Below are 25,825 nucleotides of genomic sequence, written 5' to 3'. Positions count from 1 at the left end.
TTCCACTCATTTAAAATCCAAAGTCCTTGGAACCACAGAATCAAAGTTTACTGGGGAAACTGAATATTCACACAGTCTCAAAATATCCCTCATAAATGATTTATTAGTTGCAAAGCAGCAAATGTACCTATGCAGGGGAAACCATTTTAAATGAGTGATCAAAAGTTTACACCACCACCAACGAGATATTAATAGAATGACATCTGGGGTCTCCTAAAGTATGCACTGAGGTCACAGTATTTATGTAACATTATTGCCAAAAATGCAAATGAATTTAATTGTGAGGGAATTTTTATACAAGCAGGAATTGAGGGAAAGCCTACAAAAAAACTTACCTGTACTATTAAAAAATATTAATGTTATGAAAGACAAAGGCTGAGGAATGGTTCTAGCTTAAAGGAAACAGGGAAACAAAAGACACATGACAATTAAATGCAATCCTGGATCAGAACGAAAGGAGAGAGGGGTCCTATGAAGGGCATTGTTGGGGCATTTAGTGAAATTTGAATGTATTAGACGGTAGTAGCTTGTCAACGTTCAATTTCCTGAGTTTGATAATCATACCATTATTATATAAGAGTATGCCCTTGTATTTAGGAGATTGATAAAAAGTATTTGGAGATTAAGGGTCATGATGTATGCAACTAACTCTCAAATATGTTTTAAAAAATGTTTGCTGAAAGAGATTGATGGAGAAATGAAGCAAACGTGGCAAAATGCTAACAACTGATCAGCTTCTAAAGAGTATATGGGAGTCCTTTGCTGTATTCTTACAATGTTTTCTCAAAATAAAGAGTTAAGAAAAAAGTCTATGTCCTTATAGAAGGCCCTCTGAGGTCCCAGCGCTCTTCTATTCCATCAAGTCCCCAGCATGCACTCTGTTCCATCCCTTATGGTCAGAGATTTCAGTTATTTACATTTTCCCTTTTCTTAAATTACACATACTGTACATACAACTGTGTACACATGTGAATATTTCTGTAGGACAAACACCCTTCAAAGAGGCTACATCTGTATTGTCCCCCACATGGCTAGCATATGACGCTAGCCATTACCCTGCATTGTTGGTGAACTGTGTATTAACAAACTTTTACTTCTGCCAGTGAGGGGTTGGGGGTGGGGGGATCATATCAACAATGGTGATCTCATTTGCATTTTCCTGATTACTCATGAGGTTGATGATCTTTTCATATGTTTGTCAGACCTTGAATTTTCTCTATTACCCTTCACCTATATTCAATCAAAGTCTATGCCATTAAAAAATTTGTGGTTGCTCTTTGTATATTAATTTATTAATTCTTTGTTTTTTACATTGCAAATATGTTTTCTCAGCCTTCCACTGGTTTTAAAATGTTATTTATAGTGTCTTTTATCAAATTAAGGTTTTAATATTTTATGTAATAAAATTTACCCAGTTTTTTCTTTATGACATCTTGACATCTGGCTATTGTGTCTTATTTCAAAATGTCTTCCCCATTTAATGCTTGTCAATATATCTAATAGTATATTCTTTGAAAAAAAGTTTATTTTTAACTTTTATGAATACACAATAATTGTACACATTAATGGGGTATATGTGACATTTTGATACAAGCATGCAATGTATAATGGTCAAATCAGTATAGCTGGGATATTCATCACCTCAAATATTTAACATTTCTTTGTATTGGAAACATACCAAATCTACTTCTCTAGTACACAATACATTATTGTTAACTATATTTGCTCTATTGTGCTACTAATTACTAGATCTTATCCCTTCTGTAATAACTGTAGTTTTGTACCCATTAACCAACCTGTTTTTATCCCCTTCCCCCAACACACTCTTCCCAGTCTCTGGTCTCTATCATTCTACTCTGCACCTACATTAGAGCAACATTTTTAGCTTCCACGTGAGTGAGAACACACAATAATTGTCTTTCTTGCCTTAATTCTTATTTGTCTTTCTAGCTTATTTTGCTTAAGAAATGTCCTCCAGCTCCACCTATGTTGTTACAAATAACAGGATTTTATTCTTTTTTATGGCTGAATAATATCCTGTTGTGTATATGTACCACTTTTTTTTTTTCTTTTTGAGACTGAGTCTCACTCCGTGTCCCAGGCTGGAGTGCAGTGATGTGATCTCGGCTCACCGCAACCTCCACCTCCCAGGTTCAAGCAATTCTCCTGCCTCAGCCTCCCACCACATTTTCTTTATCCATTCATCCACTAATGGACACTTAGGTTGAATCTGTATCTTGGCTATTGTGAATAGTGCTGCAATAAACATAGGAGTGCAGACATCTCTATGATATACTGATTTTCTTTCTTTTGGATATATACCCAGCCGCGAGATTGCTGGATCTTATGGTAGTTCTATTTTTAGTTGTTTTGAGGAACTTCCATACTGTTATTCCTAGTGGCTGTACTAATTTACACTCCCACTCACAGTGTATGAGGGTTCCTCTTTCTTCATATCCTCACTAGCATCCATTATTATTAGTCTTTTTGTTCTGTTTTTTTGTTTGTTTGTTTGTCTGTTTGTTTTTGCTCCTGCTTGAAGTCTCTCATGATCAAGGTAGACTATAATATACATGATGGATTCATCATATGTATTATATATTTTACCCTGTCATGGAATAATAATTACTCAAAATTCTTTAAAAATAAGCCACTGTTAAATAGATTGTACATTAAAATGAACATAGAGAAAGTATTCGATTTTTGTTCTTAGCAAAAGTGAGTAGGACATTAAGAATCACCTTCAATGCTTCTTTAACAAATTACCTATCATTAACTAGAAATGATCCATCAAGTCTATGATTTAAACTTTTGAGAAAGTTTAGATTTTTGAACAGAGGCATTTAAGATCCTTATGAATGTGGTTTCAATTTTCAAATGGAAAGTACAGATAAAATAAAATGTACATATGATTTTTTGAACAAAAGCTTGAAATTTGATTATTTCTGTGGACCATTTGCATTTTACGGTCAAATCAGCATCTTTAAGATCCACTTGCTAATTAAGAGTGAATATTAGAGAAACAGATGATGATAATTTAAAAAGAGATATACTTTATGCTAAAATATATATATTTTTATGTAAACATACTTTAAAATATTTTATATTTTTTCCTCCAAGAAAAAGAGTCAATTCAATCATGTTCAAGTATTTATTTTAAAAACATATTTTACCTATGTCAACTCTTCTGACCATTCTTAACAATATTTTGAAACAAAAGTGATCAAAATGATCAAACAAATAAAATAAACACATCTGTTGGCTTCTCTTGTTTTCCTAGCACAGACAGACAATGTGGGAAGGCTCTAGTCCAGTTTTCAAAACTAGTTTAGTTCTCCCTTGCTGCACTCAGGGTTTAAGAGTTGGAGATTACATTGAACCTCCCCAGATGAAGTTTTGACTTCATGAATATACCCATAGTGATCTTGTAACAAAAGCTAAGCAAAAGAACCATGTGGCCCCTCAACCCCCTCTCCTTGCCCCCTTTTTTCATGGTAATTACCATAGGAAAGGAAGCTTTGGAAAAACAGACGGAAGAGAGGAGCAGATGAAAGAGTAGATAAAACTCCAATGTCTGCTCGGCCATAAAGCCTGCCAGAAAAGAACTTGGAGAACAAGAGGAGAAAATTCCTTAGAGGAAAAGAAGTGTGTAAGGGAATGAGGATGAATGTAAGGAAAGGTACAGAGAAGATTTTTTAAAAAATTTAAATATAACACCGGGTGTGGTGGCTCACACCTGTAATCTCAACACTTTGGGAGGCTAAGGTGGGCATGGGCAGGTCACTTGAGGTCAGGAGTCTGAGACCAGCCTGGCCAACATGATGAAAACCCACCTCTATTAAAAATACAAAAATTAGCTGGGTGTGGTGGTACATATCCATAATCCCAGCTATCCAGGAGGCTGAGGCAGGAGAATTGCTTGAACCCGGGAGGCAGAGGTTGCGATGAGCTGAGATTGTGCCACTGCACTCCAGCCTGCCCGACAGAGCAAGACTCTGTCTCAAAAATAAATAAATAAATAAAAATAAAAAATAAAAATAAATTTAAATATATAGACCCAAGTCAAGCATTTCTTTCCATCACAGTAAAAGGGTACCTACTGAAACTTGAAAATACAGGATGATCCTGGAAAGTGATAAAGGTGGTCACATTTTTTTCATTAAGGATCCTAGAATTTAGTTGGCAAAATCACTGAAACTCACTTGACCTTTCTCTTCTCCATTTTTATCACTACTACTCTTTCTGCCACCTCATTTCAATACTATAAGCCATATCTACACAGATAATCAAAATAGTTCAGGAAACCAAGAAGCTTTCTTGGTTTTCTCTCCAAGTGAAATTTTTCCAAGTAAATTTTTCTCTCCAAGTGAAAGGATGTTCCGCAGGGGTTAGATTTTATAATCCAAAATGGAGGGGGAAATCCAGCAAGGTTGTCTTACTGAAATGTAGGCAGCATGAAAATTCATGGCATTCCGTCACTCTTAAACTTGAAATCATCCACCAAAGCTACAATAATTAGAAAAAATTATATTGACTTTTAAAAAATCCACTTTTGATTTTTTTCTGCCAATATCAATAATTCTCCTTGGAAATAAACTAACTGATTACTAAGCCGAAACCAAATAACTGATTATTAAGACAGAACCAAGCACAATGATTTATATGTCCAGAAAGAAATGCATTTTGTGTTGACAAATTGCAAAGGCGCAAATGTACATCAGATGACATCTGGACTGGCAGGTGAGAGTTAACATTTTTAACTTATTTTCTTTCCCTTTACCCACTCTTGTCTATTTTTCTTCTCTAGCTTCATTAAACTTCACCAGCTTCACAAGGTCTGGGAAGGTAGTGCATATGATGTTCTGAAAGCACACCATCCTATGTAAACAATTGTTTTTGGCAATTCAGAGACTTCAGGGCGGTATTGCGTCTTTGTTTTATCCACCAAAATCAAATGTTTAGGCCAAAGTTAGAAGGGCACGTGCATTTACTTTTATAACTTGGCATATTCAAACATTACAATGGTACGTTTAAAAAAAAGAATTTGGTCTTTTTTGCTCTTTCTTTCTTTCTTGGGCCTACACCTTGTCCTAGTTCCATTGTTTTCTCTTTGACAGTACATTTTCATATCTTGGTGTATCTCTTCAGCATCTGTTTCTCCTCAATCATAATTTTCATTCACGAATAATAACTCTTTGGTCTCTTTGGACATGTTTTGTTCTGACCTCACCTATGAACTTCACCAGGGTGCGCTGAAGGTTAACAGCTCTATTTCTGGAATTCTCTTGGATCCTTTTTGAGGAAAAATGCCAAAGAATATAAACAGGGCTCAAATGTATCTGGGCTCTGCCAAGTCCTTTGAGGACAGCTCCACAGAACTGTACCTTCTGCCAGCTCCCTTCGGTTCTCATTGTGCCCGGCTTCTCCACGATTCCACATAGGAACCTGCATCTTTTGCTCATGCAGGAAAGGAAACTTTGGATTAACAGAAGTGCCAGAATATTCATTTATCTAACAACACTCTACCTTGCCCATTAACAGGTAGAAAATTGCTTCTCACTTCACTGAGCTTTCTACCCTCTTCTCTTTTCCATCCCACAGGGTGCTGAATGTTTCCAGTGCTCATTTAAAAATGCTCCCATCAGAGTTACCCAAAGAGCTTTTCCCACAATTGTTGAGACTGTAGAAAGGTTAGGTGAATGGCATAAGCACTGCTAGAAGTAGTTGGTTGGAGGGACCTTCTGGCAGTGCCTTGCCTAAGGGGCACTGGGTCACAGGGTCACTCCATGAACATGCCATCTTTCCTATAACATATGTCAGGCTATTTGCTTCAGCTGTGACTCCTTCTGTTGCAGTAGGCAGTAAATCCAATCCAAAGAGGCTTAAGCAAAAAGAGACTTCATCGGCTCGTATAACTGAAAAGCTCAGAGGTGGGGCTGACTTCCTGTGCTGCTAAATGTGGACCTCAAATGCTGCTATACAGCCACGGTTTCTCTCTATACATCTGTTGGCTTTTGTTTCATGAACGTCTTCTCTCCATGAGTGCTGGCTCATTCATAGGCGGGCTGTCCCCATCAAACTCACAAGATGGCTGCAGAGGCTCCAGAACTTGTATCTTCTCAGCTTTACTTGCACAGGGGTCACTGAAGTCAGATATTTGACAGTAGAAAGATCAGCCTCATGAAACTGGACTTGCTGTGTATTGATAAAGAGAAGCAGCCCTGGAAATCTGATATATTCTTTACCTGGAAACCCCTGCAAAATCCTCATTGTTCTCTGTTGCCATTGCTGATGCTTGGTAACAAAACCTTGCTTCATATCAAGTAGTTTTCATCCTCCCTCCACCAATTGCTTTGAGAGAGGCTAGGCTCAGCCCCAACTCCTACACTGAATTCTAGTTCACCTTAGACTCTCATGGTAGCCTCTTTCCTCTTGACTGTGATTAATTAGGCAAGAACATGTGACACAATTCTGGTCAAGGAGATGTGAGAGGAAGCCAGCTGAAGGCTTTTGAGAAGTGTTTCCTTGCTCTTGAGAAGGAATACACAGGAAAAGATGGCCTTTTCTTCTAGTTATTGTTGTCTAGACATGATGCCAGCAGCTGCTAGTAGCCATAGGAGAACTAGCCCAAAAATTAAGGACAAAGCTGATGTGCTGGGAATGGCATGGCAGAAAGAAGGAAGGAACAAAGGGCTTTGATGACACTGAGGAGCTGCTATATTAACCAACTCTGGAGCCACTCTGCCTTTGGACTTCTTGTGATGTGAGACAATAAATTATTCTTATTGATTAAACTATGTTATGTTGAGTTTTCTGGTTTAAAGGGAATTTGATCTTTTGCTGTTTCATCTCTTGGCCTACACTTCTTTTTTGGCCTGTACTCTTTGCATCTGTTGTTTTCTCTTTTACAGTGCATTCAGCTGAAAGCATCCTAAAAGATACTGTCTCATTGGCTCTAGCTGGGTCATGTGCCCATTCCTGACCATGCATGCACTGTGGGGATGTGATGTGTGATGGGACTTAGGCTAGATGATCCAGTACTCTTCTGCAGTGAGATGGGCTCATCCCATCTGACTTCACGGGCAGAGTGTGGAGGAAAAGGCATATCTACTGAGAAATGAGGGTATGATTTCTATAAAATAGTGAAATATATGTTGTGAAACAAACATATCAGATATCTAATACTTTGTCCTTTTGAATGTGCCCTTTATTACAGAATGGCCTCAAATCGTGAGTACAGTGGGTAAGAAGTAGGCTATCTGTTACTTCGTCTGGTAGCCCAGCAAACGTAACTACGGAGGTGTTTTAGACCAAAGGTAGATCTGCTATGCTATTGACTCATCTAAATAGACTATGAAAATTTTTCCTGAGTTAGGCTCTCATATCTCTAGCTTTGGAACACAAGCCATTTTGAGATCATAGCAAAACACAGTGCGACCCACAGCCAAAACAGACAAAACACTCAGTTGCCAGATGATCCAGGGCTTCCTAAGAATACTAGAAAAAGCAGGCAGCAATTTAAGCAGCATGTGCCATCCCTCAGGCCCCAAGGTTTTCTGGCACCCTTCTGTCATGCCCCCTGAGGTTCAGTTGGTCTCATGGCTCTGACTCAGTGTGGTATGTAGAAGAGTGGGGCCTCAGGTCAGCCTGTGTCTAGTGATTTCAATTCTGCTCTTGGCTGCAATTCCAACTGTCAAGAAAGTTTTGCAGTCAGCCATTTGATAGTGGAAGGGTTAGCCCATGAAACTGAATTTCCTGTGTATCTGGAAAGAGAGGCAGCCCTAGAGATCTGACATGCTCTGTGAAAATTAGGGGTTCATTTTTGCTATTGCTGGTTAGTCTCTGCTGAACCTAATATATTTCAACATTTGAAGACTTTTTTTAAAAAGAAAATTTTTTTCTTTCTATTTTTTATTATGAACTTAAGTAACTTCATGGCAAAAAAATCTAATCAACATTAAACTATTTACTTCCCTCCAAAGTAATTTCCTCTCTGTCAATGCACAGACGTGCATTTTTACTTAGTTATAATTAGTGTGAACATACTCGTTTTTGTTTAAGAAAGGTTTTCTTTACCTTGGCATTCAGATTCGTTTTCATAGGCGAAGAAAGCACTGGGAAGGAGAAGGAACCTTTGCTGGCAAGTTGGGAGGATTATATGGGGTCATACTATCCCAGGGTTAAGGAAACCTTAAAGGACCCAACATCCCTCTCCATATCTCTTCTGATGATCCTTTTGTGCTCACAGACTAACCAGTGTGGCCTTTTCACTCAAAAGCCTCTCCAGATCTGCACAGCACCAAGGGTGCAGTCTGGCTCCCAAAGGAGTAATGCAATTCCATCCTCAGGTCTGCCAGGGCCCACCTGTCTGTCGTGGGCATGCACCATTGCCCTGGCTTTACTGGGCTGTTGGGTTGTCTAGTGGTTTTCCTTGCAGAAAGCAAGCAGGAACAATGCTGCTCCGGACTGGTTTTCCATACCACTCCTCTCAAATATCTTCTATTTTCTTAAGTGTGATCACACACCCATGGTTTCCAATCTATCAAAGCATAACATTGCTAGTCGCTTTTTTCTAAGTTAAGGAAGTAGCCATGTTGGGTTTAATTAAAAACAGCAACTATTTGTACAGCTGTCCCTAAGTTCATGGCTCATAAAAGGATTAACTTCAACCTTGCTGCCTAAGTCTTTTGGGAGTGTCACAAAAAAACATTTAGGCTTTTCTGGGCAGTGCCAGGCCTGGGCCTTGAGGCTTGCTGATGCTAGTTCAGCCACCAGGCTCTCGGTGCTCAAGTGGCACCCAGCAAAGCAGAGAAGAGCAGAACTTCCAGATACACAACTCCTCCTTCTTTTGTTTGGGGGATGCAAGGCCTTGAAGGCTGCTTCAACAAGTTTCTGAAAATTCCCCTCGGGTTGGGAAAGGCACAGTCTTCCTTTTGCAAGTTTTTCTAGAGCCCTTCGTACTTTTGCCCTAGAGTGGGTCTTTTGCACCCCCACCTCCCAGACCTCAGTGGTCATTGGCAGGCATCCTTCGAAGGAGGTGGGGGCGGGGTATCCCCGCCGATGGATGCGCCCGCACAAAGCAGCACGTTTTCTCATCAAAGCCCTGGAGAGAGGGAAGAAGCAACGCTCAGCATTTCGCTGATTTTCAAGTGCACACCGAGCAGCGCTTCAGGCAGCTTTGGGTCAGAACACGCCTGATTCGGACTTCAGGCGAAGGCAGAGGCCAGCACGGGTCACCGATTCAGAGCCGGGGGCGGGGCCGACCACACACGCTGTGAGACCCAGAGGCCGAGGAGCCGCGGGTTAGAAAATGTGACCTTGGCGACCCCAACGCCCCCGCCTCCCTCGCTGCTGCTCCACCTGCACGCGGAGCGCGCCGGGCCGCCAGCGGAGGCGATGGCCAGCCCTGCGCCCTTAGTGGCCTCCATCAGCCACCAAATGGTGGCTCTGCAGACCTTGCAGCTGCTGCAGCAGGAGTGGGGCTGGGGGGACGGTCCAGTCGCCCCCGGGAACCCGCGGGACCCAGACCACGTGTCCACCGCTCCAGCCCGTCGCTCAGGCCCGCCGCGGGCCCGGCCGGGGCCCGGGCGCGAGGAGCGGGGCGGGGGCGTGGGGACCAGGAGTCGGCGGACCGCGGCGCGGGCGAACTCCCCAGAGGAGGAGGTAGTGCGAGGCGCTGAGGGGGGCGCCGAGTTGCTGCCCTTCCCCCGGGACCGCGGGCCCTGCACCCTGGCCCAGATGGCGATGCGCAGCGCGCTGGCCCGCGTGGTGGACTCGACTTCGGAGCTGGTCAGCGTGGAGCAGACGCTGCTGGGGCCCCTCCAGCAGGAGCGGTCCTTTCCCATTCACCTGAAGGTGAGTCTGGCCCCCGCCATCCCCTCTGGCGTGCAGGGTAACCTCCCATCCTCCAAGGGTGGGGCTGCTGGGATGGCGATGGGTGGATCGCAGGATCCCAAACACTGCTGCCCACTGTGATTCAGCCCCAGTGGGAGAAGGAAGGGGGCGGGGGACACTCTGGGGACTCAGCAGGAGGGGCAGGGAGCCCCAGACCCACCTGAGGCCCGCCTGGCTGGCACAACCGAGATGTGGGGACTGCCTTGCCAAAACCTCCCCCTGGAACTCCTTCCTCTCTCACATAAATCAGCTTCCTGCGCTAGAAAGGCCCTTTCCACACGTGCAGCTTGTAGGGATAGAGGACAGCTCCCCCCACCCACTTTCCAAATTAATAACGCTTCCTCCAGAGCCTTAAATACACTTACTAAGTCCCTTCTGCCTTTTGTATGATGAAATCATCTACATTTATTTAAAGTTCCTTCACATTCATGAATCACTATTATTTTTTGCATAAATCCAATTCCCCACAGAGCTAAGGGGTCTTACAGAGTCAACCTACATTCTCATAAAGTGGGGTGAGAGCTGGGTGGGTCCCGGGTGTTAAAGCGTGAATACTAAATGCTAAACTCTTGCTAAGTCACCCAGCTCATATAGGTAGGGCACATTTCCTCTTAAGGTACCAAACTGTGTTAGCCAATTTAGCCCGGGAAGGGAGCAGCTGTCTCCCAGGCTGAGTGAGATTGCGGAAATCTGGGGGTCTGGGTTTCAGTCCTGGACTTGCCATTAACTAACCTAATTGGTTTAAGGTCACGAATCTCTCTGAGACATTCTGGCTTTCAGATTTTGACCAGGAGCATTGCTGTATTTTATTTCCCTGGGGCATCTAGCAGAAGGAGTTGGGGAGGGGTGATGAGGAGAGCTTAGAATATGTCTCAAGAGTTGCTATTCTGTACAAGCCAAGGTTTGGAAAAAGTTGCTATACATTAAGTTGCACTATACACTGTAAAAGATTTATTTAAAATCAAACATAATAAAGCCTATTATATACCCAAATAGGTATTGTTTCTCTACGTAGGGGTTTCTCAATCTCTGTACTATTCACATTTTGACCTGGCTAATTCTTTGTTGTCGGGGGTTGTCCTGTGTATTAGAGGATGTTTAGCAGCATCTCTCGCCTCTACCTGTTAGATGCCAGCAGCATATTCCTCGCCGCAAGTTGATACAGCCAAAAATGTCTCCAGACACTGCCAAAGGTGGCGGGGGCGGTGGGGTGGGAGGCAAGATGAGAAGCACTCCTACACTCACTTTAGAAAGTTAGAAAATGAAGCTGCATTTCACCAAATGCTCTCCAATGTAAGATGTACTTTTTTTTGGTATCACCAAAATTTTTTTTAATCCTGTCATTGAACTATGATACACCATTGATTATAAGTTACATGCTAATTTAAGGGATTTTTTTTTTTTTTTTTTTGAGACAAGGTCTGCCTGTGTTGCCAAGGCTGCAGTGTGGTAGCCATTCACAGGTGCGATCATAACACTACAGCCTCGAGCCCTGGGCTCAAGTGATCCTCCTGCCTCAGCCTCCTCAGTAGCTGCAACTACAAACCTGTACCACCACATCTGGCTGATTTCAGGGATTTTTAAAAAATGTGAATAAAAGTGCATTTTAAAATAGATGAAATATGAAGTGACTTGTGATGTCAGTAGCACATACAGGGCATAGGTAAGGCTGGCAAAAAGAGAGACTGACAATCAGTTTTACCTAAGGTGACCCTGGAAGGCTTCTCAGAGGAGGCAGCCTTTAAAAAAAAAATACATGTTATTTTCCAGACATTAAAGGGAAAAATATTTCAGGAGAATACTTTGGTTAAGGCCCAGCAGCACTGAAAGGGACTGAGGCTCTAGAGGAACTACAGTTAAGTTCAATATGGCAGAAGGCAAAAACTGATGCTGGAGACACAAATGGGGGCCAGTTAGGGAAAGGCCTGTGTGTCATGCTGAGGACCTTGGATTGTCTTGCAAGCAGAGGGTAGGTAAATCACAGAAGCCTGGATAAATCACAGAAGGGTAGGTTTCAGTTTGAAAGTCAGGTCAGAAGACAGCTGTCTAAGGGCTTGACCCAACTCAGTGGCAATGGACTAAACCCCGTGTCCTCTGCTCTGGAAGCAGTCCACTATAAACTATGCCATTTTAGCTTAATGCCACAGTCACTTCTACTTGGAAATCCTTTTAGCCCTTTCTAATTGACTTTTGATTCTAAACATTTTCCATCCTCCTCAAGCCTTCTTCATCCAAACCTCAACCCGCTCACACCTTTTCTGAGAAAATAGAGGCCAGTGGACAGAAATATCTTTCTACCTAAAAAATTGCATTTCTACTCATCTTCATTTTTGTTTCTAAAATTCAAGTGCTGCCCCCCCATCCCCATGTATATTCATGTTAATTCCACTGGAGCAAATCTTTCACTTGCTCCTGGACCTGTTTCTATCAATTTTCTCTCTCCTTACATTTTCTACCGCCCCCTCTTTGCTGACCCTCTTGGTCCATAACACTCTTTACTTACCCAGCCCTTGAGTCCCCATCCTTCCCTTCCTTGTCATGAGCAAACTTTGAAAACATTTAGATGTACTGCTTCCACTTTCTAGAAGTATACAACTACTGGAGTCTGCTGTTCACCCGCAGGGGGATAATGAGTTTTAGGGCCCCTGGGAACAGCGAGGGCTTTCGAGAGAAGCAGAGAGCAGTTTCTCTGCATGATTTGTTCCCTTGGGAGCACCTAGGAATTTTGCTTGGTTTGCTGTTTGCAGAATAGGTAATATCTCCACTTGGTTTGTAGAGTAATGATTACACAGCACTTAGACTTGAGGAGATGGCATTCTGTCTTTCCAGGGGGCTGGTTATGCAGACTTAGCTTCCTTAATACTAGTGTTAATTCAAATGACTTGGAAGGGTGTTTTGTATATTTTTAAATTGGGAACATACAGATTTTATACAATAGAATGGTTTCAGAAATCCTTGCAGGAGGATTTCCGGGAATGGAAATAACTATTTTGTATCACCTAGAAGTACGTGGGAACCTCCCCAACATCAGATCTCTTTGGTGGTGTTACTTACCACGGAAGGTAGGAGGAAGACTCACTTGAACTAAAGCCCATGGCGCAGATGACAGGCATTAGAGATCCTGCAGTGGAGAGAGCATAGCACAGCAGTCAAGTCCCATGGAGCATTTCAAACCTACTCTTCCACTTCCTGTCATTGGCCCTTGGGTAAGTTATTTAGCCTTTCTGTCCCTCAGTTTCCTCCCTGTATAGTGAGGACAATGGTATCTAACCTAAAGGGTTACTGAGATAATGCATTTAGTCAGTGGCTTCCCAAAGTTAATCTCCATCTATTTGAGCTATTATGATTATCATTATTATTACTGTTAACAGGTTGATGCCTCATGAATTCTTATTGACTGTTATTTTTGTGAATTCTATTCTTGATATTAATGAATATGATCCATGAACTCTGTGTCTGCTTTTCTGGAACTATTGACAAAAACAGACTTAGGATGACCCAAAGAGATTTCCAGGAAGCCTACACTATCTAGAGGTCAGCTTTAGCCTCATGCCTAGTGACAGGCTTAGAGGTGTCACCAGTGAGTGACTCACTGATCAATCCACCAGAAGGTTAAGGCAGTGAAATCTGCAGGCATGGAGGCAGAAAAATTCTCACCACAATGATAACAGACATTTAAAAATAGGATTTTACTCTTTAATTAAAGAAACCAACACAATACTCCTTTTGAACACTTAGAAATGATCATACACATGCAAACACCTATTGCAGTGAGTTTCTTCATGGTGGATGAAAAATGCTTAACAGTACTAAATCTTATTAAATTTGCTGCAGAGACTAGGTTTAACCAGCTTAACAAACATTTATAATAGGAGGAAACTGAGGCTTGGAGGAATTGAGGACTTTGCTCAAGACCCTGCAGCTAAGAAGTGATGGGTTTTATCTAACTTATTCTCCTACATTACAGTGCTTGCCCTTAGGGGCGTTATGAACATCATGCTGAAATTGTGTATGTGAGAGATCTTAGGGGCCGTAGTTGTACATGCTGTGCACTGTGTACACTGCTTGGACTACAACAGTCACATCGTAGCCTGGCAGCTCTGCTTGCCATAGCAAAATACCAAAGACGGGGTGACTTAAATAACAGACATTTATATTCTCCCTGTTCTGGAGGTTGGAAGTCCAAAATCATGGTGCCAACAAATTCCATTTCTAGTAAGAGCTTCCTTCCTGGCTTGCAGACAGCTGCCTTCTCGCTGCGTCCTCACATGGCCCGTCCGCAGTGCGTGCAAGCAGAGAGAGAAAGCTTTGCATGTCTTTGGTGTCTCTTCTTATAACAACACCAGTCCTATCAGATTCAAGCCACCTTGTAACTTCAATTTATCTTAATTACCTCGCTAAGACCATATCTCCAAATACAGTCACATTGGGGGTTGAACATATGAATGAGGGGACCACACAATTTAGTCCATAACACTGGATGATCTCTGTACCTCCTTCCATCATGGCCACCTGATATAGTGACAGAAAGCACTAGGTAAACTCAGGACATCACTATCAAACTAGTAATACTAGCAGGAATGCATTCAACATTTGCCACCCAAAGGGAGCATAGAAGTGTGCAGGACACCAGGAGGAAGCTAGTCTAGGATTTTTTAAACTGCTGAAAATGACTAATTCACATATGGACCGTTAGCCAAGCCAATTACGAAGTTACTCTGATTGAGTTTTGTCTATCTTCATTTGAGAATTAAAAACATTTATAGTTTCCAAGAGTTCTGTTCTAAAGCAAGTTTCATGGAAATTGTGGCGGAAGCTAACTTTCAGAGGCAGAAGAACGTTTTTGCCCTTGCAGATGAAACCTGCCTGTGAGCTCACCCGTTTCAATGAGCGCATTCTGGTACCAATTATTCCCTCATGTTTGATAGTCCTTGCTGGTTTTCTCATTCTGTGGTGCAAGAGCAGCAGTCATAAAACTGCTGGCTTTGGCTTCGCAGTCATTGCAAACTGCAAGTATGAATATTGACTTGTTCAGAGGAAGACATTGATGATGAGTGCTTTTTTCCCCATTGGTAAAAAAAAATAATAAGCAAATCTTTCACTTGCCCCTGGACCTGTTTCTATCAATTTTCTCTCTCCTTATATTTTCTACTGCCCCCTTTCCGCTGACCCTTTTGGTCCATAAACATGCTCAAAGCTTTCTCTCAGTACCCAGCCCCATGAGTTCGCATCCTTCCCTTCCTTGTCATTAGCAAACTTTGAAAACATTTGAATGTGTCCCTGCCATTTTCCAGAAGTATCTATATTTGTTAATATCAAGAACGGAATTCACAAAAATAACAGTCAGTACGAATTCATGAGGCATCAGCCTTTTAACGGTAATAATAATAATCAAATCTTTTTCCTATTGGCGAAAAAAGCACTCATCATCAATGTCTTCCTCTGAACAAGTGAAGCCAGCTTCTGCAAATTTGAGATTTGTGTCTTCAAAGATTACTAACATACTATTGAAGACATAAATGCTCACGGTTATATAATCAGTAGCCATAGCCAAGGTGGTGCTCATTATCTGTGACAAAATCATGCTTTTATATTAGAAAAAAGGTGCAGTGATGAGTCACAGAATTTCGGTTATTCTCTCCCCGTAAGCCACGGATACGGTGACTGCTCTAGAAGTAGCTTATGTATAGCTTTGCAATTTCTTATAATATGAATGATATGAAAATCAGGACATAAAAGCTTTCTGAAATGAACATTTAGGGAAAGATACTTCAGGAAAGGCCTAAAACAAAACTACTTATGTTTGACATCTTGGTGAAAATGTTACCGTGTTTTATTTTACAATTTTTGGGTTTGCCTGGTGAGCATCCCTGAATCAAGTGCTTATACCCATCACAAAAGTGCTTTTCACTGGATTTTCAGCTGGAAATGGTGTGGTACCCAAAGCAAATGCATCAGGAGCCTTAGTTATTTGTGCGCATTTCCAGTAGGTACACCACAAGTAAAAATGTTTAATTTCCTGTGGATGATAGACTTTTGAATGGTGACTGGCTAATACTTTGGTTCTTCATTGGGTGTTTTATTAATACACAGTTACACATCTATTGAGACTGACCTTGGGTTCAGGTGATGGATGACTGCTCTGGGCCCTGTGATTTGTGGTTCAAAGCCAGATGTTGATGAACCAAATGAAGTTGGGGCAAATCGTAATTCATGATAGTATGTTTTCCACAACATCCTATTAAAACAGAAAACATCACTCCCCTTTTATGTAGACATCCAGTGTAGAGGGTGCTAATGGGTCTGGAGAAGGGATTTGTGTTCTTTTGTTGGGCCCAGCACTGGACTGCTTTAATGGAGAGCAACTTGCTGGCCAGGCAGAAGTTTATTAAGGACAGCCCTCAACACAGACTTCTTCCTTCCTTGCCTCCTTCCTTTCTCTCTTTCTTTTTTTCTTTCCTTTTTTTTTTCTTTTGAGATGGAGTCTTGCTCTGTCGCCCAGGCTGGAGTGCAGTGGCATGATCTCGGCTCACTGCAAGCTCTGCCTCCTGGGTTCACACCACTCTCCTGCCTCAGCCTCCCGAGTAGCTGGGACTACAGGCGCCTGCCACCACGCCTGGCTAACTTTTTGTATTTATAGTAGAGACAGGGTTTCACCATATTAGCCAGGATGGTCTCGATCTCCTGACCTCGTGATCCACCTGCCTCAGCCTCCCAAAGTGCTGGGATTACAGGGATGAGCCACCATGCCCGGCCTCTTTTTTTCTTTCCTTTTTCTCTCTTTCTTCTTCTCCTCCTCTCCTTCTCTTTCTTCTCTTCTGTTCTCTTTCTCACTGCCCTCCCACCCCCATATCTCCATCTCTTTCCTTCGTGCTCTCTGTAGAGGACATGAAGGCTTCAGGGAGAGCTAGAGGGGGAAATGTGAGAAGAAACAAGCTTGTGGAGGCCAGTGTAAGAGAATAAAGCTCAAGGTATCTCAAGAGGTGACTGTTTTCAAAAGAGCCAACTTGTTGTAGAGCTGGTGGTTAAGTGAGTATGAGCTGATTTACAATTTACGTAGATTTAGGAGTGATTTTGAAGGTGACATGGTAGGAGAAAAAAGCACAATCCTTGTGGATTGTTTAAATGTTATCTGCATTTTAGAGTCTATTAAGTCATATTGGGTTTTTGACTTTATTATCCACTGGTGTTGGTTTCAGAAAACAGGCTTTCAAATGGACTCACACTGCTAGATTCTTCTTGTCTTCAAGACTCCAGTTATGATGAGAGTGTTTATTTTCAGTACCAAGCTTTAAAAACAGGCTTAACTTGTCTTCCGTTTTAAGATTTTGCAGGTGCATTTTCAGTTGTTCAAGAATTCCAGATGTGTGCATTCCTAATAAATGCACAATGCAGAATGCAGAAAAGTACACAGTGTGGCGGTTTTTCCGAGAGACATCCCTCACAGTGGGTAGGAGAGAACAGAGCTGAGGAAAGGAAACCTCCAGCTGGGCGGTTTCTGATTAGCTCAGGGTTGGTTTTACATGGGGTGTAGAAGGTTCGATGCCTTGAATATCTTTCAAATAGCCAAGCTCTCTCAATTACGCTGCAGGGAGGAGGGATGGGCCAACAGGCCAGTCTTCCATTTGGATGTGATCCTTGCCAATTTTTGAGCTTCGTACCACTCATAACACTCAGTCAACCTTAAGAAAAATAGTGTGAAGATGGCCAAAAAAGAAACATGAAACGATTCACTTGTAGGCATTTTGTTCCATCCCCAAAACTGGTTTAGTGCTTCTCCCACTTGCTTCCAAGAAGCCCCTGTCACCCCACCGGAGCAGCTACAGCTCTATAATTCCTGCCAGTCTTGTCTCCCACACTACATGGCTGAGCTTGGCTCTGTGAGCCATTACTGCACCTGGCATCATTTGGGATCTGGGCCGAGTCTGATGAGTGAGTTCTGAAATAGAGGAGTTAATTTTTTTTATTATACTTTAAGTTCTGTGCAGAATGTGCAGGTTTGTTACATAGGTATACACGTGCCATGGTGGTTTGCTGCATCCATCAACCCATCATCTACATTAGGTATTTCTCCTAATGCTATCCCTCCCCTAGCCCCCCACCCCCCTACAGGCCCCGGTATGTGATATGCCCCTCCCTGTGTACATGTGGTCTCATTGTTCAACTCCCACTTATGAGTGAGAACATGCAGTGTTTGGTTTTCTGTTCCTGTGTTAGTTTGCTAACAATGATGGCTTCATGGCTTCATCCATGTCCCTGCAAAGGACATGAACTCATCCTTTTTTATGGCTGCATAGTATTCCATGGTGCATATGTGCCACATTTTCTTTATCCAGTCTATCATTGATGGGCATTTGGGTTGGTTCCAAGTCTTTGCTATTGTGAATAGTGCTGCAATAAACATACATGTGCATGTGTGTTTATAGTAGAATGACCTATAATCCTTTGGGTGTATAACCAGTAATGGGATTGCTGGGTCTAATGGTATTTCTGGTTCTAGATCCTTGAGGAATCACCACACTGTCTTCCACAATGGTTGAACTAATTTACACTCCCACCAACAGTGTAAAAGCATTCCTATTTCTCCACATACTCTCCCGCATATGTTGTTTCCTGACTTTTTAATGATCTCCGTTCTACCTGGCATGAGATGGTATTTCATTATGGTTTTGATTTGCGTTTCTCTAATGACCAGTGATGATGAGTTTTTTTTTTTTGCATATGTTTGTTTGCCACACAAATGTCTTCTTTTGAGAAGTGTCTGTTCATATCCTTTTCCCACTTTTTGATGGGGTTGTTTTTTTCTTGTAAATTTGTTTAAGTTCCTTGTAGATTGTGGATATTAGCCCTTTGTTGGATGGATAGATTGCAAAAATTTTCTCCCATTTGTAGGTTGCCTGTTCACTCTGATGATAGTTTCTTTTGCTGTGCAGAAGCTCTTTAGTTTAATTAGATCCTATTTATCAATTTTGGCTTTTGTTGCCATTTTTTTTGTGTGTTTTAGTCATGAAGTCTTTGCCCATGCCTATGTCCTGAATGGTATTGTCTAGGTTTTCTTCTAGGGTTTTTATGGTTTTAGGTCTTACATTTAAGTCTTTAATCCATCTTGAGGTAATTTTTGTATAAGCTGTAAGGAAGGGGTCCAGTTTCAGTTTTTGGCATATGGCTAGTCAGTTTTCCCAACACTATTTTTTAAATAGGGAATCCTTTCCCCATTGTTTGTTTTTGTCAGGTTTGTCAAAGATCAGATGGTTGTAGATGTGTGGCATTATTTCTGAGGCCTCTGTTCTGTTCCATTTGTCTATATATCTGTTTTGGTACCAGTACCATGCTGTTTTGATTACTGTAGCCTTGTAGTATAGTTTGAAGTCAGGTAGTGTGATGCCTCCAGCTTTGTTCTTTTGGCTTAGGATTGTCTTGGCTATGCAGGCTCTTTTCGGTTCCATATGAAATTTAAAGTAGATTTTTCTAATTCTGTGAAGAAAGTCAATGGTAGCTTGATGGGAATAGCATTGAATCTATAAATTACCTTGGGCAGTATGACCATTTTCACAATATTCATTCTTCCTATCCATGAGCATGGAATGTTTTTCCATTTCTTTATGTCCTCTCTTATTTCCTTGAGCAGTGGTTTGTAGTTCTCATTGAAGAGGTCCTTCACATCCCTTGTAATTTGTATTCCTTGGTATTTTATTCTCTTTGTTGCAATTGTGAATGGGAGTTCACTCATGATTTGGCTCTCTGTTATTGGTGTATAAGAATGCTTGTGATTTTTGCACATTGATTTTGTATCCTGAGACTTTGCTGAAGTTGCTTATCAGCTTAAGGAGATTTTGGGCTGAGATGATGGGGTTTTCTAAATATACAATCATGTCATCTGCAAACAGAGGCAATTTGACTTCCTCTCTTCCTGTTTGAATACGCTTTATTTCTTTCTCTTGCGTGATTGCCCTGGCCAGAACTTCCAATACTATGTTGAATAGGAGTGGTGAGAGAGGGTGTCCTTGTCTTGTGCTGGTTTTCAAAGGGAATGCTTCCAGCTTTTGCCCATTCAGCATGATATTGGCTGTGGGTTTGTCATAAATAGCTCTTATAATTTTGAGATATGTTTTATCAATACCTAGTTTCTTAAGAGTTTTTAGCATGAAGGGCTGTTGAATTTTATCGAAGGACTTTTGTGCATCTGTTGAGATAATCATGTGGTTTTTGCCATTGGTTCTGTTTGTGTATGGATTACATTTATTGATTTGCATATGTTGAACACTCCTTAGCAAAGGCAAAAGAACGGAAATCATACAAACAGTCTCTCAGACCACAGTGCAATCAAATTACAACTCAGGATTAAGAAACTCACTCAGAACCGCACAACTACATGGAAACTGAACAACTGGCTCCTGAATGACTGCTGGGTAAATAACGAAATTAAGGCAGAAATAAATAAGTTCTTTGAAACCAATGAGAACAAAGATACAATGTACCAGAATCTCTGGGACGCAGCTAAAGTAGTGTTTAGAGGGAAATTTATAGCACTAAATGCCCATAGGAGAAGGTGGGAAAGATCTAATATCGACACCCTAATATCACAATTAAAAGAACTAGAGAAGCAAGAGCAAACAACTTCAAAAGCTAGCAGAAGATAGTAAATAACTACAATTAGAGCAGAACTGAAGGAGATAGAGACATGAAAAACCTTTCAAAAAATCAATGAATCCAGGAGCTGGTTTTTTGAAAAGATTAACAAAATAGACTGCTAGCCAGATTAATAAAGGAGAAAAGAGAGAAGAATCAAATAGACACAATAAAAATGATAAAGGGGCTATCACCACTGATCCCAAAGAAATACAAACTACCATCAGAGAATACTATAAACACCTCTGTGCAAATAAGCTAGAAATTCTAGAAGAAAATTGATAAATTCCTAGACACATATACCCTCCCAAGACCAAACCATGAAGAAGTCGAATCCCTGAATAGATCAATATTAAGTTCTGAAATTGAGGCAGTAATTAATAACCTACCAACTAAAAAAAGCCCAGGACCAGATGGATTCACAGTTGAATTCCACCAGAGGTACAAAGAGGAGCTGATACCATTCCTTCTGTAACTATTCCAAATCGTAGAAAAAGAGAGACTCCTCCTAACTCATTTTATGAGGCCAGCATCATCCTGATACCAAAACCTGGCAGAGACAAAAGAAAAAAAGAAAATTTCAGGCCAATATCCCTGATGAACATCAATGCGAAAATCCTCAGTAAAATACTGGCAAACTGAATCCAGTAGCACATCAAAAAGTTTACCCACCACGATCAATTCTGCTTCAACCCTGGCAGAAGTTAATTTTAACTCTGTCACTAACTTGCTGTGTTACTTAGCTACATCACGTACTCTCCCCAAGCCACATTTCTTTTCATCTATCATGGATTGTGGTGAGCACTGAGTGAGACAAAGTATAGAATGAGTCAAGCTTGCAGTCTGGTGCTGAGTAGGTGCTCAGGCGTGTGGGCCAGACCAGTGTTCTTCAAAAGCTGGTTTGCATGTTATCCAATGATTGGAAGTGTTCAGGGACTTTACTCTGACATTCAAGGCCTTCCACACAATCATGTCCTCATATTCAACACAAAATTCTATTCTTTTCAGACTAATGTTCTCCTTCTCCCTGACCCAGCCCCTTCTGACTCCACACTTTGGCTTCTGTTATTTATTTTGGTTACAGGGGCCTATAAGCCAAATAATGCGTTCCTCCATACCACCTATCTATCTTGTAGTATCTAATGTAGTCCTTCCCACCTACCACTTCTCTGATACTTCATGCAAGCCTCCATTCCCCTCTTCTGCAAAAAGCTTACTGATGGCCTCCACTTTTGTTGTTGAACCTTAATCTTATTTTTGTGACATTCCTACTGAACAATTGCAAATAGATTTCATCTCACCAATTAGATTCTAAGTTTCTACAAGGCAGATTTTTTTCTTTTCTCTTTTCTTTTCTTTTCCCTTCCCCTTTCTTTTTCCCTCTCCCCTCCCCTCCCCTCCCCTCTCCTCCTCCTTACTGATCTCCCAACATCTAACAGAGTCCACTATAAGTTTAGTTATTAATGTAAAGGACCACTTAAAAAATACAAAGAGCTTCCATATCCATGAGCTAATTTGACTTTTGAAACCCCTCAATGTGGTAGCTATTATTGTTTCCATTTTGCAGATGAGAAAACTGAGTGTTCCATAGGCATAATAGCCATAATAGCTTGGCCAAAGGGGTAGAACCAGCATTCAGATGGCAAGTCCAGTGCTCTTGAAGGAATGAACTGTGTCTCCATCCCCTGGGTCTTTGTAATGACTTGGAGAGCTTCCCATTCTAAGTAACATCTGCAAAGTCCCTGTGCCATGTGGGGTAACATACAGGTACTGAAAGGCTATTATTCTGCCTACCTCAGGGCAGATATGTGCTAAAAATTAATAAGCCATATTGTAAAAACTAGAGCTATTTCTTTGATTGGATTGCCTCCTAAGCACACGAATTTCTCTAGTGTGTCCAAATGAATTTTGAACAATAAAAACCCAGCACTCTGTAGGAAGGAGTCACATGACAGAATGAGCTTTGCATGAACCCTGTGCTGTGCTTAAATTATGATTGTATACATGTCTATTCTTCCATAGAATTGGGGTTTTGTGTTTTTACCATAGCCCTCATCATACTGCAACGGACATTTGCTATATGATCTATGTGTCTCATTTCCCTCTAGTAGGTTATAAGCTCTTTATAGATCAAGTACCATATCTTATTGCCTTTTATCCAGTCATGTGGTGGAGGCTTGATACACATTTGAAATAAATTTAACTAATTCATTTAGCTGAGTTAAACAGGCCAAGGCCATTACCCCAATAGATCAGTTGAGTTACATGAGAGTATCTCAACTGGCTTAAAAATGTAAATGCTGGCCATCAATTTGGACTGCTGTAGTAATCAATACATTTCATATCCAGAGTCTGAAATTACACAAGGCTTTAGAAGTTTCAAAACCTGCTTTTAGATTGCTCAACCATGTAGTTCTAATTCTGGCAAAGTACTCAAAGCATCGTGTAGGATATTACATCATTTCTGGGAGCATCTGGGATTTGCTAAATAAAAGCGGCTGGGAGGATAGGCTTTGTTGTTGAATGGAAAGCATCCTAAGTGAAATCATCACCAATATTGATCATGTGAGTTTCTACTGAAAGCCCATGAGCCATTTAATATACTATTGCCTTAATGCTGTGACTTGTGACCCCTACCTTCCATTGCAGACTCAGCAGAAGTTTGGTCGAAGGCAATGATTATTGGATCCAGAGTTGGCCTTCAGACCTTCTGGAATGGTAGAGAAGCACACACCTGTTTTATTTTTCCCTACCCTGGCTTAAGAGTCCCACGGAAAGCCTATTCCTATTAATTTGTTTTCTTTGCTAATATATTTGAGAAAGGATAAAAAGGAAATACTGTACTAGAATAGTAAAATAAAGTGAGTTTGCAAAGCTTGCCAGAGATCTGAAGTTTGCCCAGGGCCTCAGGGACCAGTACAGCCCAGCAGTCGAATTTTATTGTACATGTAATTTCCCCAAGCAACACCTTCTTTGATTCTTTACAGTAAAACATGAAATTGACTTCAGGTTTTCTGCCCACAACTATATTTTTAAAGGCATTTTAGTCTTCTTTGGGTGATGAATTCCTTTGCATACTGGCTAATAGGCACATGTCAGCACACGTTTTAGTGGTTCCTTCTATTTTGAATTTCCCCTTGCATGTTTTCTTTGATCCTTATACTTTGTAGTTAGTATTGGATTACTTCTATAAAGCAATCGGACAATTTTCCTTGATGTGGATCTTGAGGAAATAGTCCAGAGTGATTTTTCTCTCCTACTTTCCCATTCCCTAGCAGTATGCTTCAGCACACAGGCCACCCCATAAGCTATGGGACAGGTCATCTACAGCAGGGATGTCCAATTTTTTGGCTTCCCTGGGCCACATTAGAAGAATTGTCTTGGGCCACACATAAAATACACTAACACTACTGATAGCTGATGAGCTAAATTTTTTTTAAAAATCACAAAAAAAATCTTACAGTGTTTTAAGAAAATTTACAAATTTGTGTTGGGCTGCATTCAATGCCATCTTGAGCCACAGGTTGGACAGGCTTGATCTTAACAGCTCTTTGACACCTTCTGGGCAGAAATGAGCAACACACAAAGGTAGGGAAGCAAGAATGCTTTAAAGAGAAAAGAACAAAAAGTATGGTAGCTTGCGAATCCTTGAGCATGGTATGGTTCTGTCCTGGCACCTAGCTCGCAGGTGGTCCTGCTGCCACTGTTTGCTAAGTTGAAATGAACATTGGTTTTGTTTCTGAGGGATGTTTTCTAATAAGCACTTTGTCAGAAACCCAGGTCCTTCTCGGTCAAAAAACAGGGTTTTTCATAGGGAGAAGAATAGTTTCCCCTTATAGACAGAATTAGGAAGGAAACTCTGGTCCCTCATCAAACTTTGGTTCAACTTTTAGTTCTTCCTTCCATTTTTTTTGAGTGACAGTATCTGTTTCTCTTTTCCTACATTATTGAGTTGAATTTTTAGCTCATGGATTTTCAGGGATTATTCTTTATTTACATAATCATTTAAGTCAAAGTGTTTCTCACTGTGGCTACATCCCACAAATTTGTGATATAGTTCAGTATAAAGTATTTGAAACTTTCAATTATTTTTTCACTGATCCATGAATTATTTAGAAGTGGGTTTTCTAAGTCACACATGTTTTGGGAAGGGTATCTATGTTATTGATTTCTCATTTATTTGCATTGTGATTTGCATGATAGAGTCTTTCTGATATTTGTTGAGATTTGCTTTGTGACATTATAATATAGACAGCTTTATAAATAGTCCACATATGTTTGACAATAATGTATATTTTCTTATTTCCATTGGCTCAAGCTTGTGATTAGTGTTTTTCAGTCTTTCTCTGTTTTGTTGTTTGATCTATCTAGTTTCAGAGGAAGCTAGGTTAAAATCAGCTTGTATGTGTGTAGACTGAATGTATGTTATGATTATCATATTAGGGACATACAGGTACAAAATTGTGACATCTGCTTGGGGAATCATTCATTTTATTAGTCATAGTTTTATTTCATCCCAAATAATGATTTTTTTTGGTTTTATTTTGGCTTCTCTTTGCTTGGCATATATTTAAATATCCATTCACTTTCAATCTTTATGTGGTTTTAGATTTAAATGTGTTTCTTGTAAACAGCATATAAAACCAATATAGTAATCATTATCTTCCAAAAGGTGAGTTTATTGCTTTGCACTTGTTGTGCTTTCTGATATGTGTAGGCTTACTACTATCTTTTTTAGTGCTTTCTGTTTACCTTGCCTTATGTTTGTATCTTTATTTCTCAAGTTTACTTTCTATATACATAAGGTCAATAATCTGTTTTTTCTTTTTCTTTGAGACAGGGTCTCGCTCTGTTGCCCAGGCTGGAGAGCAATGGCATGATCATTGCTCACTGCAGCCTTGACCTCCTGGGCTCAATGTGATCCTCCCACCTCAGCCTCCTGAGTAGCTGGGACCACAGGTGCATGCCCTCTTGCCCAGATAATTTTTGCATTTTTTTTTTTTTTTAGAGACAGGGTTTTGCCATGTAGCCCAGGCTGGTCTCGAACTCCTGGAGTCAAGCAATCTGCTTGCCTTAGCCTCCCAAAGTGTTGGGATTACAGGCATGAGCCACTGTGCCCAGCCAATAAAATTTTAATTCATCTTTTCCCTCTGCTGATTTTGAAGTTTTATGTATTATTTCTCTACTTTTAATAATAACTCTTACATTTTTCACACATGTACCTAACAAGTCTGATATTTATGAGCTTGCCACCTTTCTCTTGAATAATACAGTGCTTAGAGTGCCACTCCATTCGACATGT

General features: G+C 40.9%; 1 protein-coding gene and 1 long non-coding RNA gene across 3 annotated transcripts in view, besides 1 other annotated feature; one reads left to right on the top strand and one right to left on the bottom strand.

Annotated features, from left to right (window-relative positions):
• Positions 1-3,137: 3,137 nt before the first annotated feature.
• The window catches only part of DLEU7-AS1 (DLEU7 antisense RNA 1), a 42,051-nt gene continuing 19,363 nt past the window's right edge, over positions 3,138-25,825 (bottom strand). The window contains exons 4-5 of the long non-coding RNA NR_046551.1: positions 12,949-13,015; positions 3,138-4,506 (exon numbers count right to left, since the gene is read on the bottom strand). This is a non-coding gene — a long non-coding RNA (DLEU7 antisense RNA 1). The remainder of the gene's footprint in view (positions 4,507-12,948; positions 13,016-25,825) is intronic.
• The window catches only part of DLEU7 (deleted in lymphocytic leukemia 7), a 132,914-nt gene continuing 116,192 nt past the window's right edge, over positions 9,104-25,825 (top strand). Inside the window, exon 1 of one of the 2 annotated variants that reach the window (NM_198989.3) lies at positions 9,104-9,855. In NM_198989.3, coding sequence (NP_945340.2) covers positions 9,397-9,855 — 459 coding nt within the window. In that variant the 5' untranslated portion in view covers positions 9,104-9,396. The remainder of the gene's footprint in view (positions 9,856-25,825) is intronic. The other variant, NM_001306135.2, reaches the window with a different exon arrangement.
• Positions 9,495-10,421: an enhancer, noted in NCBI's record as "H3K4me1 hESC enhancer chr13:51416758-51417684 (GRCh37/hg19 assembly coordinates)". NCBI's record gives its function as "activates a minimal SCP1, AML or CMV promoter by ChIP-STARR-seq in naive H9 embryonic stem cells {active_cell/tissue: H9 hESC(naive)}" and the evidence as "EXISTENCE:reporter gene assay evidence [ECO:0000049][PMID:30033119]".

The sequence above is a fragment of the Homo sapiens genome, chromosome 13 (genome assembly GCF_000001405.40).
Source record: "Homo sapiens chromosome 13, GRCh38.p14 Primary Assembly".
NCBI lineage: Eukaryota > Metazoa > Chordata > Mammalia > Primates > Hominidae > Homo > Homo sapiens.
Note: the sequence above shows the minus strand (reverse complement) of the source record. Positions and strands in the feature narration are given on the sequence as shown.